This window comes from Homo sapiens, chromosome 1 (genome assembly GCF_000001405.40).
Source record: "Homo sapiens chromosome 1, GRCh38.p14 Primary Assembly".
Taxonomy (NCBI): domain Eukaryota; kingdom Metazoa; phylum Chordata; class Mammalia; order Primates; family Hominidae; genus Homo; species Homo sapiens.
The window spans coordinates 148,612,527-148,633,217 of NC_000001.11; the positions used below are offsets into that span (position 1 = coordinate 148,612,527).

At 39.1% G+C, this 20,691-nt stretch overlaps 1 protein-coding gene across 13 annotated transcripts in view; it reads right to left on the reverse strand.

The window, feature by feature from the left end:
* Nucleotides 1-20,691, reverse strand: part of NOTCH2NLB (notch 2 N-terminal like B) — a 112,254-nt gene that overhangs the window by 12,242 nt on the left and 79,321 nt on the right. For all 13 annotated transcript variants that reach the window (XM_047420744.1, NM_001395234.1, NM_001364008.2 and 10 more), the window contains one exon: nt 3,165-3,424. In XM_047420744.1, the coding sequence (XP_047276700.1) occupies nt 3,165-3,424 (260 nt within the window). The remainder of the gene's footprint in view (nt 1-3,164; nt 3,425-20,691) is intronic.

Here is a 20,691-nt window from a genome sequence, read left to right on the forward strand (position 1 = left end):
TTAGTTCCAGAGGGAGGAACGCTGCCACCAGAAGACACAACAACAATTCCATTAAACTGGTAGTTAAGATTGCCACCAGGACACTTTGGGTTCCTACCTTTAAGTAAACAGGCTAAGAAAGGCGTTACAGTGTTGGCTGGGACATCAAGGCTATCAAGACCCAGGCTATCAAGATGAAATCAGTCTACTACTCCAGAACGGAGGTAAGAAAGAGTATTCATGGAATACAGGAGATCCATTAGGGCGTCTCTTAGTATTACCATGCCCTGTGATTAAGGTCAATGGGCAACTACAACAGCCCAATCCAGGCGGGACTACAAATGGTCCCGCCTGGATGAATGAAGGTTTGGGCCTCTCCATCAGGAAAAAAAAAAACACAACCTGCTGAGGTGTTTGCTGAAGGCAAAAGGAATACAAAATGGGTAGAAGAAGGTAGTCATCAATACCAGCTACTACCATGTGACCAGCTGCAGAAATGAGGACTGTAATTGTCCTCAGTATTTCCTCCTTCTTTTATTAAAAACATGTCTGTGCTTGCACACACTTGTACTAAGAAAATATCTTCATTTTATTTTCTTTCTCCTTTATCATGTGACATAAGATTTATTGACTTCACATCAGCATTTAAGTATCGTTAACTTTATGTAAGAGTGTTTCAGTTGGGGACTAGTGTGTTTCCGGATGTATGAAGAATAGTTGTACTACATCAGGTGTAATTATGACCTAATTATTGTCTTTATTTGAAGATTATGTGTGATCTCAGGAGATGTGTATGGGTTCAAGTTGACAAGGGGTAGATTTGTGGTGGTTAAAACTGAGTGTGTCAACTTGATTGAATTGAAGGATACAAAATATTGATCTTGGGTGTGTCTGTGAAGGTGTTGCCAAAGGAGATTAACATTTGAGTCAGTGGGCTGGGGAAGGCAGACCCACCCTTAATCTGGATGGACACCATTTGATCATCTGTCAGCAAATATAAAGCAGGCAGAAAAACATGAAAAAGCGAGACTGGCCTAGCCTCCCAGCCTACATCTTTTTCCCGTGCTGGATGTTTCCTGCCCTCAAATATCGAACCCCAAGTTCTTCGGTTTTGGAACTCAGACTGGCTCTCCTTGCTCCTCAGCCTGCAGACAGCCTATTGTGGGACCTTGTGATCATGTGAATTAATACTTAACAAACTCTCCTTTATATATATATAAAGATTGCCAATATATATATATTAAGATTGCCACCAAGACACTTTGGGTTGGAATATATATACATACATATATATTCCATTAGTTCCATCCCTCTAGAGAACCCTAATACAATGAAAAATTAATATAACAGTATTCTACACTAACTGATCCAGTATAGTCTTCTGAGTACATTTTTCACTTTTTTGCTTATTGCATTTATAGAACTCTTGGTTTAGTGCTTAAAGCAGGAGAAAAAATGAAGAATGTTCCTCCTTTTCTCATCTAATTTAATAAACACTTTTGAATAAAGCTCAGACCCACCTAGAAAAACCCACAATCTATTCAGGTGAGATATGTGTAAAAAAAATTACAATAAAATGTGATACATAAAACTAATAAAACTTAGAGACCATTTGCCTAAAGGAATCATGAAAGGGTCACTGAGACACAGTTTTAAATAACATTGGACAATCACCAGTTGTAGAAAAGGGCATTCCAGGCAAAAGGGTGTGTAACTGTATGGAAGCAATAATAAGTACAACATTTTCAGGAAATAAGGAGAATTTGGTGTGACTAGGCCTAGATGCTTGTGGGGAGGCCAGGCTATAAAAAGATGTAAAGTCTAGGCTGTAGAGAGCTATGGAAGTCATGTAAAAGAGTTTGCAGTTTATTCTGCGGATGATGAAAAAATATTAGACATTGTAAGCAGGTGAGATTGTTAGAATATTTGCATTTATAATCAAAGATGTAGTAATATCATGGGTGAATGAGATGGGGAGAGAATAAAGGCAAGAAAACGTATTCAGAAACTACTTCAGAAGCCCAGGTGAGAGATAACATGGCCTTCAACTACAGGGTAGCAGAGGAAATGGGAGGAATAGACAGGTGAAAGGCAACTCAGAGGTTGGCTTGGGTGACTGAGTTGAAATGAGGTCAGAACAAGGGACAGGGAGTTTCTAGCGTGGGTATTTGGGATGTACATGGTTGCTACGTATTTCTGTCAACAAGGTGAGCTGAAAGTACCTGTAGAATATCTCCAAGGAGAACATACAAAGGATAACTAGAAACATGAGCCTGAATGTCAGGGTTGGGTGGAGCTAAGGGAATGATGGTGAGATTCATCAGCAAGCTAATGAAGACAGTGGCAGTGGAGGCGAATACAGACAGTGAAATTCCCTAGGGAGAGCTGTGATGTGGCTCAAAAGAGGGCGCAAAACAGTGCTCCAGGGAGCACAAACATTTAATGGATAAGAACAAGGTAATGAAGAAGCAAAAGGAACAGGGTTCAGAAAACCAGAAAAGCCAGTGCCCTGAATGTCTAGGGAGGGAGATTTCTAAAAGCAAATAGTCAATAACATCAGCAACTTTTCCTCTGGTGACAGTGTACTTATTTCTTTTAGTGAAGTAAACTCTGATTCCCCATCCTGGTGTACATATTTTTTTTTTTTGAGACAGGGTCTCACTCTGTCACCCAGGCTAGAGTGCAGTGGTGCGATCATAGCTCACTGCAGCCTCAAACTCCTGGGCTCAAGCAATTCTTCCACTTCAGCCTCCCAAGTAGTTAGGACTACAGGTGCACACCACCACACATGACTAATTTTGTTTTATTTTTATTCTTGTTTTTTTGTAGAGATGGGGTCTTGCTATGTTTCCCAGGCTGGTCTCAAACCTCTAGCCTCAAGTGATCCTCCTGCCTTGGCCTGCCAAAATGCTGGGATTGCAAGCGTGCGCCACCGCACCTGGCCCTGACATATATACTTTAAGCAGTCAAAGTATTTGGTCCTTTTTCTTTCTCTTTCTCTGCCCCCTGAAACTCTTAAAAGGAAGTTAGGGATAGTTGTCTGGAACATCCCAGTTCCTTATCATAATGTTAAATGTGCACCAGAGCTGGGGGACATTTAAGAGCCAGACACCATGATCTAAAAGATGCTAAATAAAGGTATCTGCTGAAGGTAGGAAAGCACTGGCTTTGGTCTCATTAGTTACCTGTAAACCCGACTTGACAGGTGCACTCATAGGTATCCCGGCTGAGCATATGGCATGTGCCGCCATTCAGGCAAGGTCGAGACACAAAGCATGGATGAGATGTCGAGTATTGGCAGTCCTCTCCTGTAAACCCTGAGGCACATCGGCACGTGGCTTTCCCCAGCATGGCCTGGGCCACACAAGTCCCACCATTCTGGCAGCGGTTCTTCTCACAGGGGTCTCGATGTTGACAATATTCCCCCAAGAAGCCTTCTGGACATCTGTATGGAAAAGAGAAGAGTCCATGAAAACACCTGACTTCTTGTAAGTCCAAAAAATTACAGTAAAACAATACAGTCCAATCAAGAAAGCACGAGATTGTGAATCAACAGACCTACAAGGACCACCTATAAAACTGCTTCCCTTTAGAAGAAAGAGTCCTTAGAGAACTTAACCACATACTCCCATGTCCTTTTGAGTCCTGGCAGGTGACAGAGTATCAGCTGTATGGTCTAGCAGGGTCTGCCATGGCCAGTCAACATGACCCTTATTCAAACGCAAAATGCACCCCAGCTTTTTTTCATGTGTGTACAGGTTGGGATGGTGTAACAGCACCTTTTTTAGAGCACTGTTCGTACTTGTCTGCTTAAATTCATTAACTTTCTCATTTTGACTAAGCCATTTGATAGGATTAAGATGTCCACAATATAATGCATGAACTTGACCCTATTATCCCCTCCAATTTAAAATATGTAAGATATCATGTGCTTTTCCTCAATTAAGCATTGAGAAATAGTAAGTGCTTCTTTCTCTTATTTCCACTGAAACATCAATTGGCTGATACCTAGTTTTCTGGGTTATGTTCAGGTGGCTGACATTACAACGGAAAAAGGGAAAGGAGGTACAGGAATGGGGAAGAGTTCAAAGGGATATTTAAAAATCTGTTAATATTTAAGTAGGCATTTTTAACCAAATAAAAAGACACAAAATATAATTAAAATAACATAAAATATCTAAGATACCATATAAACACCAAAGTCAAGGAAGGAATCAATTGAAGAATAACATTCTATGATATTTTCCACATTGAGGCACTGAGGAACCTTTTTACATGCCACCCCTTGATTCATAAGATGTACAACCATTTCAAACTGTGTGTATTATTTATGACAATTTTCTCTGAACAATATCAAAAAGGCATGGTAAGTCTCCATTTTCATAATGAAGTTGTTTAAATGGAATCTCTGAGAAGCATTTAAATTAAGAAACACAAACACTTTGATTCTAACTATAAATGCTGCTATATATTTGGCTGGTGCCCCAAATATGTGATTCAACTTATTCCTCGTTTTAGTTTTCAGGGACTAGAAAACTGAATCTAGTAGGCTGTTCCACCATTACCTCAAAGATTACACATTTAAACCAAACTCTAAATCCCCCTCTCAAAAACCAGCTTTTCTGTGCCCAAGCCTTGTTGTCCTGATTTTCCTAATCATTGTGACCTGAAACATTGGGGTCATGAGTGCTTTTGTCTTTGACAGTCATATCCAAGACCTTTCATTAACCATTGGTTGGCAAGGCTAGCTAGCAGGGGTCACAGTTACTGAGAAAAGAAGGAAGGCCAGATACTAGGGAACTAAGACAGAAAATGCCCAGAAGAATTGTGTAGTAGCTAAAATGGCTAAAGGAGAAAACAGGGTGGTGAATAGCTATAGTGGTAGTGAGGTAACTGGCCACAGCCTCTTCACCCCTCCCAGAGCTGCATAAGATAAGCATGGCAGAGCAAGGAGCGGCTAAGGCTCTGGGCATCTTCATGAGTAGGTGTAGCTACAGACCAACAGGCAGTGAAGAAAGTTCATAGCACTGAAACCAAAGATGGCATGCAGGTGACTGTGAGGAGTCTGTATCAAGAAGGTCAGAAGGTCTGGTTTGGAGTTCTGGTGCTGTGACCTTGGACAAGTTACTTATCTTCATTGACTATCCATTTTCTCACATTGTAAATAGTTAATAAGGTCACCTACATCATGAGATTATTCTAAGAACTGAACAAAATCAAGTATGTAAAAAACCTTATAAATGTTAAAAAGTTTTGCAAGTGGGCTGGGCACAGTGGCTCACACCTGTAATTCCAGCACTTTGGGAGGCTGAGGTGTGAGGACCATCTGAGGTCAGGAGTTTGAGAATAGCCCGGCCAACAAGGTGAAACCCTGGCTCTACTAAAAATACAAAAATTAGCCAGGGTGGTGGTGCACGCTTGTAATCCCAGCTACTCGGGAGGCTGAGGCATGAGAATTGCTTGAACCCGGGAGGCGGAGGTTGCAGTGAGCCGACGAGATTGTGCCACTACATTCCAGCCTGGGCAACAGAGTGAGATTCCATCTCAAAAAAAAAAGTTTTGCCAAGTGAAAACATCTTTTCTCTCTTCTTTGTGCTTATTGAGGAAAATACAATGCCCCATCCAAATCACAGCTTGATTTGAGAATAGTTTCTTGTGTTGGTTTTTTGAAGTGGAGGAGCAAAAAGTGCCAATGTAGCATAGCTAAAATTAACTCTGAGATATATTATTAAAAGCATTTGCAGCTTATTCAAGAAATGTGTTATGAATGTTAAAAACTGCAACACAATTCTCACTCACAGTGCAGCCCTCTGGGCATTATTAGATGACTCTTCATTCTCCCATATGGGAATTATGCACCTTCTAAATAATGGCAAATTTTTAAACGTGGGTGGGCTTTGCTCAGCTTTGCTCCTGAACTATTACACCACCCTAACACTATCATGTGGCATATGCTAAGAGAATGCAAAGTCATTTAAATGGTAGCATCATAAACATATAATGGAAATATAAGGTTCCCAGGAAAACAAAAATGAAGCAAAATGGAAGTTTCTAAAGCTAAACAGATGTATTTCTGAATTATTTGTTTCTACAGTTTAATTCACATTGTTGCTCCCTATCAAGTATGGAAAAATAAGTTTTAACCTAAGATATATTTAAGAAATCAGTAAAACCAGAGATTGACAAAGTACAGTTTGCAAGTCTAATTTGGACCACTGCCTGTTTTTGTCTGGCCTGTGAATAGTTTTTTACATTTTTAAATGATTAGAAAAAAAGAACAAAAGAAGGATATTTTCTGACATTTCAAAATTATATACAATTCAAATTTCAGTGTCCATAAATAGTCTTACTGGAACACAGCCATGCTCATTCATTTATAGATTGTCTATGGCTGATTTTCCACTACAACAACAGAGTCAAGTAGCTGTAATGAGACCACAAAGCCTGCAAAAATAATTACTCTCTGGCACTTTACAGAAAAAGTTTGCCAACTTCTGAGTAGAGAACATATGAAGGCTAATTCTATAAATACCATCCAATATGCTTATTAATAATGATCGGTTTCTGATAGGAAATCAACCTTATTAGTTTCCACAAAGAATATTAAACTTATAATCGTTCATTCACACAACAATTAGTAAATGCCTATTATGTGCCAGGCATTTTTCCAGTGCTAGAAAAATTCTTACACTCTTGGAGTTTACATTCTAATAGCGGAAGACGAAAACAAAATTACTAAGTAAAAGATGCACAATAGATGGAGTTAAGTGCTGTGAAAAAAAATTAAACAGGAAGGAATGGAGCTGGGGATGAGGGTGTGGGGTGAGCAAAGAGAAGTATCTCAGTTTAGAATAGGAAAATCAGAGAAGACCTTCACTGACAATACTTGAGTTGAGACCTAAATAAGGTGAGAGTAATCATGCAGGTATCTTAGGAAAACACATTCATGAGAAAGGGAACAGCAAATGCAAAGGCCATAACACAGAGAGCAGCCCTAGCGTGTTTGAGAAACAGCAAGAATATCTGGAGCAGCAGAAAATAGATGAGAGCTGTAACTGGGATGTGGATCAATTGGGGCCTTTAAGCCACTGTAAAGAAAGACTTAGGGTTTTCCTCTAAATGGGATAATACTTACATATGAGGTACAACAGACTTACTCTCCTAAAGCCCGTGTACAGAACCATATATTTGCTTTACGTGAAACTAGACCTACTGTATTAATAAAGTTTGATTTCTATTTAAAATGTTTTAGAGGGCTGGACATCAGCTTAGTTCTTTACTTTTACCTTAGAAGATATACAAGTCTCTTTTAACCCACACTTTCATGAGGTCCCATTTCCCTTTCCAAATTATTGTTTCACAGCTAACCTTCTATGACTGTAGCCTAATTTCAGATATTCCTCTTTCTTTTCCATCTACTTCTTACTTATCCCTCTGCAACAAAACTTTAATTCTAATTATTGTTTAGAAACTGTTTTCTAAAAACAATGACTTTCCTCTAGTCAAGTTCAGTGGTCTCATCTGAAACTTCATAAGGAAATTCTCTCTCCTATAGGGAGAATTGCTAACCACTCCATGTACCGTTTTAATCATTTTACCTTGGCTTCTATGCCTCCCTCTGTCTAACTCAAAACCCAGTGAAGTCTTAGTCTGGATTGCTGATTTCTCCTTCTTCCCCATCTATTATGGCCACCCTAATGTTTAAGTCTGGACTGCACTGCTCTTTCTCTCAAATGCATTTGTTACTGTTGTTGTTCACTTGGTTTTAAACAACTTCCTTCCTGTAACTGACTCCAAAATACACTGTTCCAGTCCCATATGTTCAGTTTTCTAGAAGTCATCTCTCTATCCTAATATGTGCTGCCACTATTTGAAACTAAACATTTGTAAAAGGAGATCATCTTCCCAAGAAACTTTAATTATTCAATTTTTCTAAGGCTTCCACACACAATTTAAAGTAACTTCATCTCTTTAAGTTGTATATAATTTATTACCACATTCTGACAAGACTTGTTAACTGAATTCCTATAATACTTATCATTCGTGTTCACAGTTTCCTTTTTGATACAAATTCTGATCATCTTAAAAGCCTCAGGCCAGACATCATCTTGTTGCTGGCTTTTCCCCCATTTCCAGCCATCCTTGGAATAACAGAACCTTCAGATTCAAGAAATTTAATTTCTATCCAATTAAGTAATCATTTCTAAAATATTTCTAAAAGATGATCACCAGCCTCTGCTTGAATACAAGCATGTAGCATGGTGCCGGATAAATCTTGAGAATTTAATAAATGCTTGGAGTTATTATTGTTCTGCTCTTAAGAGTACAGACTCTGGAACCAGACCACCTGGATTTCAATCCCAACTCCACCATTTACTCAATGTGTAATCTTGGGCAAGGTACTAAACTTCCCTGTCGTAAAAGAGATGTAATAACAGTGCCTACTTCATAGGATTTTTAAATAAGGGTAAAGCACTTAGAACACTATCCAGCACATAGTAAACACTATGCATTTGTTAAGTGAAATTACTGGCTGACTACTTCAACAAAAGAACAGTCTTCAATGTGGGTGGATTCCACTGTGAGAAAGCTCTTTCTTAATTCTTCAAATTCTGCCTCCCTTCCTAGGTATATACCCGAGATAACTGAAAACATATGCCCAGATAATAAAAATGTTCATAGCAGCATTATTCATAATAGCTAAAAAGTAGAAACAACCCAAATGCCTATAAGCGGATGAACAGATAAATAAAATGTGGTATATCCATAAATGAAATATGTGGCCATGAAAAGGAATGACATTCTGATACATGCTACAACATGGATGAACCTTGAAAACATGCTAAGTGAAAGAAGCCACACACAAAAGGCCACATATTATATAATTCCATTTATATGAAATGTCCAGAATATGCAAATCCGTAGAGATAGAAAGTAGATTAGTGTTGCCAGGAGCTGTAAAGAAGGGAAATAGACAGTGACTACTAAGCAGTAGAGAATTTCTTTCAGGGTGATAAAAATGTTTCGAAATTAGATAATGGTGGTGGTCTCATAACTCTGGAAATACTAAAGTCTACTAAATTAAACACTTTAAAAGGGTAAATTTTATGATACATAAATTATGTCTTAACTTTGAAAAGAACAAACTTTGTCTCTCTACAATTTCCAGGTTATCTCTACCCTCTAGAACAAAAAAGAACAAGCCTTCTGCTTCTCTTACACGTAGCCCTTCAAGAATCTGAAGATAGTTATGTGGGCCTTTTGTTTTCTTTTTTCCAGGATTCAATGGTTTGGCATATTCCTCAGTATAGGGTTATTTCCAGGCTTCTTCACCTTTTTAGTGGTGCTTCTATGCTTAACAGTAGTAATAATAATCAGAATGACCAAAATTTTCTGCCTCCCTTCCCAGGTATATACCTGAAGTAACTGAAAACATATTTTCTAAGTACTTAACTATGTATTGTATATTTGCTAAGCATTTGATAGCTATTGTCTCTTGTATTACTCGCTCCAGTGCTATATTATAATCTCCATTTTATATATGAGGAACTCGAAGCTTAGAAAGATTAAGATTTTACAGCTAGGCCAGGCGCGGTGGCTCACACCAGTAATCTCAGCACTTTGGGAGGCCGAGGCAGGCAGATCACCAGGTCAGGAGATCGAGACCATCCTGGCTAACACAGTGAAACCCTGTCTCTACTAAAAATATAAAAAATTAGCCAGGCGTGGTGGCGGGCGCCTGTAGTCCCAGCTACTCAGGAGGCTGAGGCAGGAGAATGGCATGAACCCAGAAGTTGGAGGTTGCAGTGAGCCAAGATCGCGTCACTGCACTCCAGCCTGGGCAACAGAGCGAGACTCCCTCTCAAAAAAAAAAAAAAAATTCACAGCTAGTAGATGGAAGAGGCAGGATTCAAACCCAAGTAGACTCTAGAGTGCGTGTGCTTCAACACTAGGCTATCCTGCCTCCCCATCACTGGATGACTCCAGTTCATCAAAAACCTCTTTAAAAAGTGAGGCTCAAAATGGAAAAAGGCTTAACACATGTTCTTACCAGTGCAGCACAGAGCTGAACCATGACCTCCTGATCTGGACACTATGCTTTTACTATTTCAGAGTAAGTTCTTAAACTGAGGAGGCATCGTGAGAGCGCAGTTCAAGAAAGAATAACGCTCCGACTCATACCCAATGGATATGTGTACTTTTTTAGAAGCCACAAAATACTACTATGTGCTATGGAATACACACTCAGCTAAAATATTCAGAGCCTTATTTCACATGAACTACTAGTGTACCCTATTTTTCTCATCTTATACTTGTAGCACGTTTTTTGAACCCAATAATTGGAACTATCATTCATTCCTTTTAAATCCATCATATTGAGTCTTTACTCCAAGTTTCCTTGATTGAGACAACTTTTACATTATACTCATACAATCACAGAATTTCAGCAGTGATCTCAGAAACCAAATGGTCTGAACCCCTATAGCACTGAGAAGGACACCAAAGCTAACTGATCTACCCAAAGTTGGTTATCTGTGAATCTAGCAATTTCCCCAGTTTTACAAATATATCCCTATCTTCACCTAGACCTTGCAATGAAACAGTACTTAACTGAAAGTGTATGACTAAGTCTTGCCCCAAGACTAGCACCTATTCAATCAGCTCTAACATCCTAAATGGACCAGCATCCTATCCATACCTCTCCTCTCCCTAAGGACAGTCTGGAAATTCCTTGCTGAACCTAAGCATATGACTAAAAGAATAATCTTTCCTAAGCATAATTTTCATGTCATTCTTCTGCTCAGAAACTAGCAACAGTATTAATACCAAGCCTTTCAAATCCAAGTTCTTTACAATCTCTGATCTGCTTGTCTGTCCCATTCCAATCATCTAACCATCTTACTCTTTAGTAATCCATAACTCGAACACTCCATATTATTTCCACAATCTTGTTTACTGTCCCCTATATTAAAATCTTTTTAATTTCCAGTGAGAAACATCATGCTTCCCTTCTGGTATATCTCCAACTTAGGTTCCTTTCTTCCACCCTTTTTTCAAAAATCTGCTGTAAACCTGTCCTATAGTAAGCCTTCTACAAATCATCCCACCTGTCTCTGATCCTTCCAACAGCAGATGTAGTGCCATGTCATGCACTACATTGTCTCCACTGGTATGGTTCTTCTTTATTTAAGCCACTGTTATGTCTTTGCTGTACCTTTCTCAAACTCCCATCTAGATAGTTTTTGTGGGGAAGAGCCTGTCTTGAACCCTTGGTGTAGGTTCCCTGAATACCTGAGTACCTAAACCCCACTAAGCAGCTGGTTCCAAAGCAGGCTAAATTTCATGTGATGGATAAAGTCAGTCTCTCAATCCAAATGTTCCACAAAATCCATCTCTACTCTGTGATCTGTCTGGTAGAATAACAGGCCAAATCAACCTAATAGTCACCCTGAGGTATAGAATTATCCTTCATACCCCAGGAAGCTAAGCAGCATTATGGACATGGGAAGAAAGGGGAGTAATAGCTAAGACAGTCAGAAATAACAGACCCTTGTTTCCTAAGGCAGGAGATCTTTCAACTTGCAAATCCCTGTTCAACTGTGGTATAAGGAGAAAATATACTCTGTTAGTCTTGGTGGAAAGTAAGGTTCTCTGCTTGAAAACAAGGGCTTAAATAGCTGTCTTCTTGAGATGGCTAAAGTTGAATTTGGTTAGAGAGTGAAAACATGGCTAAACACCCAACATCCCTTACGTATCTATAATTCCATTAAGCTACCCAGCACACATTTTGGAAAATAGTCTACCACTTGAACTAAAGGTGTATATTCTAAAAAATAACCACAAAAATCTAACAGATGCCTTTCATCCGCAAAACTATATGAATGTTTCCCTCCTGTAGGGAGTTTATTAATTATTTTCATAACTGTCTCTTCAATGTCTCTCAGTGACTTCTACTTACTCTCTCTTCTCTAGCATTGGAACTCTGAAAGAACATACTTCGCAGATGAGGTTGTGAATACAGAGAAAGGTTTGGGGAGCATTTTTCCATTTTAAACTCTATAAACTAATCTGAATACTTACCAGGTCCATAAAGATATATTTATGACTTTTTCTTTAAAAGTCTCAGCTGGGCACAGTGGCTCACACCTGTAATCCCAGCACTGTGGGAGGCCAAGGCGAGCAGATTGCTAGAGCAGAAGTTCGAGACCTGCCTAGGCAATACGGGCAACATGGTGAGAACCCCATCTCAAAAAAAAAAAAGTGTCATTTCTGACATTGAGAGGTCCACATTTCCATTGTTACTGTTCAAACATACGCATGGGGTTGGATGTAGAAAAGCAAAGGAAGGAAGAAAACAGAGAAAAACAAGGGATTCCTCCTAATGGAACTAGAAAACATTCCATTTGAAGGATACCCCTACAGTTTCCTCTCACTTAAGCAGATGAAAACCAGACCCCAACCCTCACATCTCACTAGCAGCCTGGATTAGTTTACATGTAGCCACTTTACAGATTTCAACGAAGCTGGGATCTGAATAGCAATTCCAATCTATCTGGCAATGGCTGCAGTTCAGGATCAGTCTCCCTAGTAATACAGGACAGAAAAATTTGTTCTTTCACGTTTCCTAAGTGAATAGCCACTCGTCTACAGAAAAGCTTAAAACAGTGTAGCAGCTTGTGTCAGCTCCAAGATGACTGAAGTCTGAGCAGGAAATAAGCCCCTTTTCCAAATAAAAGCCAGTGTTCTCTCCCCTTGTTTTCTCCACCGAATGTTCTGTATCAGCAGGGTGAGGCCAAATTGCATCCAGGGCTTTGCTGCAGCTCTGTCTTTAGCTTTTTTTTTTTTTTTTTTTTAAAACGAGGATTTGGCCATTCAAGAAACAACAACAATAACAACAAAGCAAAATCCCACCACATACAAGAAGAAAAAGAGAGGCATGCTTTACAAAACAGCTATTTCAAAGTCATGATTTTTAAAAAAACTATACAGAATGTGGAACGAAGGGGAAAAAAAAGTCTCATGTGGGTTGCGTCGGCACTGCAGCTGCTCCTCATTAAAGCTCCTCTTTACTCCCTCTGGGCTAGTTTCCAGCAGAAAATTCTTTAAACAGAACTTTGCTTTCAACCCACTTTCTTCTTGCACTGGGCCTCTTGGCCCCCCAATCCGCAGTGGCAGCCTGCCCTAGCTGAGCTCTAGAGGGGGGAGCTGTCGTTAAGGTAAATGAGGTAAGGGCAGGGGAAAAAACTAACAAAACCCAGAAACCAAATTAAGCATCGGTCAGTAACAAAGGTCTGCAGTTTGAAAGGCTCCAAATCAGTCTGTTCTTTCCTGTGACCATAATGCCAGCTTAGTTTCCTGCCCCCCTACTCTGTCCCCCCTGTTAAAGTAGATAAAAATAATTGCTAACAGCCAAGGCTAGCTGGAACCAGTGAAAGTTCCTATGTAACATTCAATTCCCAAGGCTGCGACTACAAACTTGTAGGTACCCTAGAGCCTATAGAATCAAGTCTAAACTTCTAGGCTGGCATTCAGGAGGCCTAACCCACCTATTGGTCTAGACTCACTGGTCTCCCTCCTTTCAGTACCTCCTGGCTGAGGTCTGATGGGCTTGTCAACTTTTTAATTCTGTCACTCTGTGTAAAGGTAACTAACTAGGTTATGCTAATTACCAACTTTGTTTTAAAAACATGCATGAGGACTTCTAGTTAACTTCCTGGTAAAGAGGGGAAAAAAAGAGAAGAAGCTCTGTCATACTACTTCTTGCCATTCCCACTCTACTCTCAACCCCCCCTTCTCTCAAATAAAAAGAAAGAAAAAAAAGGAAATACTATAGCTTACTCAGCAAGAAGGAAAAACAAAAAGAACTTTAAAAAAAAGTATTTGTGTATAGATTGGTGTCCAGAACTGGGACGCTTGTGGTAAAACACACTTTCTAGTGTAGTTTTTCTAGGGCCTTACTAGTTGTATGTGAAGGAAACAAAGACAAGTATACAATCTCTCACTCTCACACACGTACACACACACATACACACTTTTATCACAACTAATACACAAAGACTACCAAATACTGCAGGGCAGCTCATTTTTCTACTATGTAAATTCAGCTTCCTGGACAGACCATTTCTGCTTTTCTTGTAGAAGTATTTCAGAAAATGTTAATCTTGGTTCCCACATTAGGTTGCATGCTTCCAAATTAAAAGTTTCCCACAGGAAAAGAACTTCATGAGGAATTGTGAGGCTGGGAATTATCTCTGAAACCCCACCTCACTTAGTTTACATGTGTTAGGTTTTTCACCCCCTCATCTGAATAAAGCATTAAATACACACTGATTTTAAGAAACCTAAACCAAAAAGAAGCTGAAGTGGTACGGACTTTAAAGCTGTTGATTCACAGCATCATTCATCTTCACTCAGACTATGAAATCAGTAACCACTGCAATGAGAAACCATGCTTTATTTATACAAGAACTTTACAAACATCCTTATCTTCCAGTTTACAGTCTGGGCTCATTTATCAGAACTCAAAGGCTGAGCTGAGCACCTAGTCTCTTCAATCATCACTTGAAAGATTGGGAAGGGGCACACAGTGTTAAAAGACTTGTGTTGTTGCTATAACAGAAGGTGGTCTTTCCTCTGTGTTCCAGAACACAATCAGGATCTTACCATACTTCACTGCACTGGACTCTGAGAAAATATCTACTTGTGATTAAAACATGGCAAACACATTCTAGACATATGAGTTTACAAAAAACACCCTTCGATGTAATGGACAAAACTGAATGAGTTAGCTCAGTTGTTCCCAAGGTATGGGCTGTGGAGTTATTGCAAGGGATTGCAATCCTCATAAATCACTTTCTAAACTACTAAACAGTATCTTGTCCATATTTAAATATATGTATATGCTTTTATGACTAGTAAAACATAAAGATATATTAAATGATTCTTGAATTCTTAGATTTTGACAGTATACATTGTATTCAAACAACACACTGAGAAATTGTTTCATCTCAAGCTCTCTCCTTTATGCGCTATACTCTTGCTAAACGCCTTTCAGCTCCTAGAAAATGCTATAGTACACTACTTCTCACTTCCAGACCTCTGTACACGCTGTTCAGTCAGCCCAAAATGCTTTTCCCCACCTTCTCATGGCTAAGCCCTAAAATTTCATTGTCTCAACTTAAATGTTATTTCCTGTGAAAAACAGCCTTGACACCCCCTCTGTTCTTATAACCCTGAGCCTGTGTTACTCATTAGCCCTTATTATGATTATCTGTCAACAGACTAAAATTATTAATTCTCATACTCCCAGTGCCTAACACAATGACTGGCATATAGAAGGCATTCGACTATTCAGTGCAGAAGCAAAAGGTCAAAATGAAGGGCTCTGTGGAATCTTTACCCCTTAAAAAGACCCTATAAATACACTTGAAGTTTGGGAACAACTGGGTTGAGCTATTTACCTAAAGGATTTTCAAAACTAATTAAGATTCCTGATATATAGACTACTTCTTAACCCCCACTCACCCCTATATCAGTCAAATTGGGCCAACTCCATGCAAAGTAGATTATTTTTTAATCACCTTCCCTCCCACCTACCAAATATGAAGTTAACCAACACACACAAAGAGGCATGTGTGCATGTGCAGACATACACACACACAGTCCTCATTCCCTCTTGCACTTTTATTGGTCTTTCATCGGTTGTTGATAAGACTGACTACATAAACCACCAGGGACCTGGAGCCCTGACTAAAAAAAAAAAAAAAATCCTACAAAGTGGCCTCAATAGCATGAACTGCTAGATTCTGTAGTGACTGCCATTGAAAATTAAAGAAGATCTCTAGAAAGAAAAGTGTTGGAGCCTTCTTTCCATTCCCCAATGTTGGTGGATGACCACCTTCAAAGTTCTGAAGTCCAAAAAATATCTAAAAGCAGAGTAATTTAAAAAGCTTACTGTTTAGTCTAAAAGGATTTTCCTAGATCAAAAACAACTGTACCTATTTGGATACCAAAAATGAAAAAGAAATAGTGCAGAATCTTTAGATTGCCTAATGGGATCTGGAGAAACAGCTCTTAGTCCCAGTCTACATCCTAATGAGTTATGTAATAAAGGCTAATTCGCTTAGCTGTATTACACCTCAGCCTCCTCACTTATAAAACAAAATGAGTGACAAAGGTGCTTTCCAAAGTCCCTTTGACCTCCTAAGTGTGATGACTCTATAATCTTGGCCTTTGAAGTCCCTTGGCAATACCACCCAAGGATGTAATGATGCTTGCTGATGTTAATGTTTGGGTGTTTGTGGTTGTATATGTCTTGACCACTGTCCCACTCCAAGCAGGGGATCCTAGGGTAAGAACTGTACTGTGTCTCTTTTTTAATATCCCTCACAGTGCCCATCACCCTCTAGGTGCACAGATAATTCAATATACACTTATGTAAATGAATTGTTCCACAACTCACACTTTCAGCTAGCCCCTCACAGATGCATAAGAAAGCAAAGAACAACCAAAGAGAAGGAACAATATATTTAAACAAGATAAGGGGAATGAAAAAGAATCTTGTGTTTAAAAGGGATAGAAAGGTCTAACCATCTTCTATCCCAAACAACTGGCCAACATGAGAGCCTGTTTTCTTGAGCATAGAATGGTGGTAGGTATTTCAGCCTCGATGGAATCTGACCTGCTGATTAGTTATACAAGGCTAAAACTGACTGAAGTGTGTATGTAAGACAACGGTCTGGGAAGAGAAGCACTAAATTTAAGCTCACAGGGAATCAACCACTTAAAAAGGTAAATTCAGATAGAACTTTATCCAGATTTCATTTTTATGCATCCTCTCTACAAGCATAAACGCTTATCTTACTCACTTCCCATCTCATGATGCTATCATCAATTCTTATAAAATTTAGAAAAGAATAGGTGATGTCTCCTAATTAGAGAGTCTGCTTCTGTCACAAACTGTGACAGTCAGTGTCAGCCTTTGCCTGGAAGAAAATGAGTCACTTTTTCATTAGTAATCAAGTTATGTCTATTTTTTAAGAGTGACCCAGAAATTCAAGGCCATGAGTTTCAGCAATACGAGACAGAGAATCAGACAACACAAACATTGTATACAAATAGAATTAAGACAGAAAAATTAAAGTCAAGGAGGTACAGAGTTACTTTTCAGGATGACTGAGGTTTCAGAAAGGGCAAGTTGCCCCGTAAAATATTCTCAAGATGTGTCTGGCTTACACAACGAGAACCAGTATTTCAAAATCTTAAAGTGACAGGCAGTTAAACGACTAAGGCACTACCATCGTCTAGGCAAGAGAATCTTAACCACCATCAAATGTTTTCCACACAGAATAGGCAGACCTAGTTTATTCTGGAAAATTGAGGGTTTGGATATGTACTATATAATCAGAGGAAACAAGCAGTAAAGGACCTGAGCTAATTTGGGGTAACCAAAGACTTGGCTAACAGATGCTTCCTTACTCTGGATCCCTCATATGAATCAGATCTGGCCAGTGATATGCTGGACAGAAGATATCTGAGGTTGAGATACCTGATTTCTCAACTAAGGGAATGAACTATGCAGTACATGAAAACCAACCCTCTTCTTAGTGCCTCTGTTTTCCTATCACTTCCCCTATCCCAATCCATTCTTGCTCTTGCCTTAGAGATTCTTAGATTCTGATTTGCCTCGCAAAACATGGCCACAAGCCTACCGCCTCTCTGTCTGGTAGAAGTACAAGAATCAAGAGTCAAGGCCAAAAAGGTCTGAGGGAAGGAGCATAATTGCTCCCAGCTGCCCTCTCTTCCTGTCCCCAGGTCCTCTCCTTCACCCTCACTCTAGGCATTCTACCTCCAAACGTTCAAGTTAACATGTGCTAAAGGAATGATTTTCTAAATCACTTACCTGTCACTGTGAAACTAGATTAATCCACATACTGGTTTAGTAAAACCTCACACAAACCAGCATATACACAGAAGACAGCAATCAAGATGAAGAAAACGTTTGAAACTGTGTCATTAAGAAAACGTGATGAAGAAATTGGTAATGATTATTCCAGGAAATAACAGTCCCTTCTAGTCTCCTCAGCTCCCTTCCTCTCACCCTTCTCCTACCTATCCATCTTCTAAGGCACCACTAATATTCAAAGATTTAGGATCTAAGCAGTGCACCAAAAGTCCTCTGATTTTACTCTTTTGTCCCACAGTACTTGTTCCTTTGTCTGAGTGTCCATAGTTATTATCTGTGCCCCTACACTGGGATATTACAAACTGTTTTATTTTACACATCTCTGTATGCTTCATCTCCCCAGCAAGACTTCAGAAGACTGCCACCATGTCTTATGCAGGAGAAACTGCATTCACTGTCAGACAGTCTCTGGGTACGTATACTTGTGAATAAAGAAGTCAGGTAATACAGGCCTCTTGGGCTTTTCTGTCTATTCACAATACCCAGTACAGTGATCAGTTATAGTAGCCTGCTCAATAAATACTAGTGTGATAAAAATTAAACTTTTGTTTGAAAAGTGAGGATTCTATAGTGCTTCAGAGTCCATCTAACTTTCAGTGTTCAGCACACAGGATTATAGACAGTGACTGCAGGAAAATGACCTGAATCTATACAGATTTAATACCCTAAATGCTACCATTCTACATAAATCCTAATCAGATTATTTTCTTATTAACACCTACCTTTCTCCTCATATTTACGTGAAGGCAAAAAACTGGATAGAATGCTCTAGTTGAATGTGTTCGCTGAATAATATCACCCATCACTTAAATAATGCCTTTCTTAGTCTTTATTTTCACTTTTCTTTCATAAAACTCTTTTCATAAAGATCAAGTAGAAGACTGTTTAGGAGAAGAGCATTTCGAGCAGAAATTAACTGCATTACTTTTTCATAGGAGAAGGCTGATGGAGTCTAAGAATTGGCAATACATTTTTGGACACAGAGGACTAAGTGCTAGTGAAGGTCACTGACAGTGAATAAATAGGATCTAGAAAATGTGCGGAAATCCAATAGAAATTTTAATTTACCTTACGTTGGGTTGTAAGGTAAAACTCAACTAAAAGAAATATGAAAACAAAATGCATAACACAGTCGCATGTGCACACATGTGTGCATACACACATATGACAGGAGGACGGAGAGACACTAAACTTCATTCCTAACTACTGTATGTTGAGAGGAGGCCTAATGAAAACCTCTATCACACCCACATATTTATGCTAGCTTAATAAATTTTAAAGTGCTTGGAAATTTTTAGATGATTACTTTTTCTCATATTCTGATATCCCCCATTCCTTTGCTATCATTCATAAGGGCAGATGTAGACAAAATTAAAGAATTTAATTAAGCCTCTCCATATCCTGAAAGAGAAATATTTCTCATTTTGCTTAGTCACAAAAAAAGGGAGAAAAAAAGAATTCCTGTGTGAAATTAATGGTGCTAACGAGACATGCCTGAATAAGAAACTTCACATAAGATTACGATTGACCTGGAGACTGTGTTGAAAGAAACCTAGCTAAATTCACATCTATTAATGCCAGACTGCAGGCCAAAATTTGTTGATTTAATTTCTTGGCAGTTACCCAAGACAGGTAAAAGGATATAGGCAGAGCCTAAGAACCAGATTCTCCTACTTCTTCACTGAACACTGAAATATATAAAGGTCCCAACTGAAAGAATAAAAATTAGTTGAAAATAGTATGGAAATTATGTTGCTATGTGTTAAGAAGCTACTAACTGGCCAGGCACAGTGGTTCAGGCCTGTAATTCCAGCCCTTTGGGAGGCAGAAGTGGGAGGGTCACTTGAGCCCAGGAATTCGAGACCAGCCTGAGCAACATGTGAGACCGTGTCTCTATAAAAAGTTTTAAAAATGGGAGACTGAGGCAGGAGGATGGATGGCTTGAGCCTAGGAGGTGGAGGCTGCAGTGATCCATGATTGCTCTACTGCACTCAAGCCTGGGCCACAGATGGAGATGCTAGTAACCAAGACTTCCTTTACAAAAGACCCCTTAGGGAAACATCATATTTGATAAAGGATTTTAATAGGACATAAGTATTAATAAGAATCACTTAGGAATGGTACTGTTAAAGGGTCCAGATCTCAAGTCCTAATACAAGGAAAAGCCTCACAGGACATACTCCTATGCATCTGTAACTCACTATGCAAATGTAAGGTGCCATATTCAACAACTTGTGACTTTTGTGCTGGCAACAACATTTATCAAAAATCACTGAATTTAACCTGTCTCAATTTCACAACTGCATAAATCTGTCTGGACTTGCTCCTGTTCCATTAGTAAAAAGAAAGGAGAAGTTTCAAATTAGTTCTCTCTACTGAAGCACACTTTAATAGACAATATCCTCTATCCCCACCTTCACTGCCCTCTTCTTCTATTTCATCCACAGTTATTACACTGAGCTTTCATGTTAAAGGCCATTTCTCAGAAATGCAGTATTCACCAAACCTGGCCCATGTACACTCATGTAACTATATGCAGATTTAGTGTTCTAGAATGATATGAGGTACTCAGGCCTACCTAATGCTACTGTCTTTAAATTTAGAAATTACATAAAGCAGTGTTTTAATCATATTCCTGATCTGAAAAGTCCCCTTTTTGTATACTTTCAAATTGAGAACAGACCCTAATACGCAATAATGTTAGCTAGCATTATAGACTTTAACTTGCCAAAGATCCAATTGTTAAT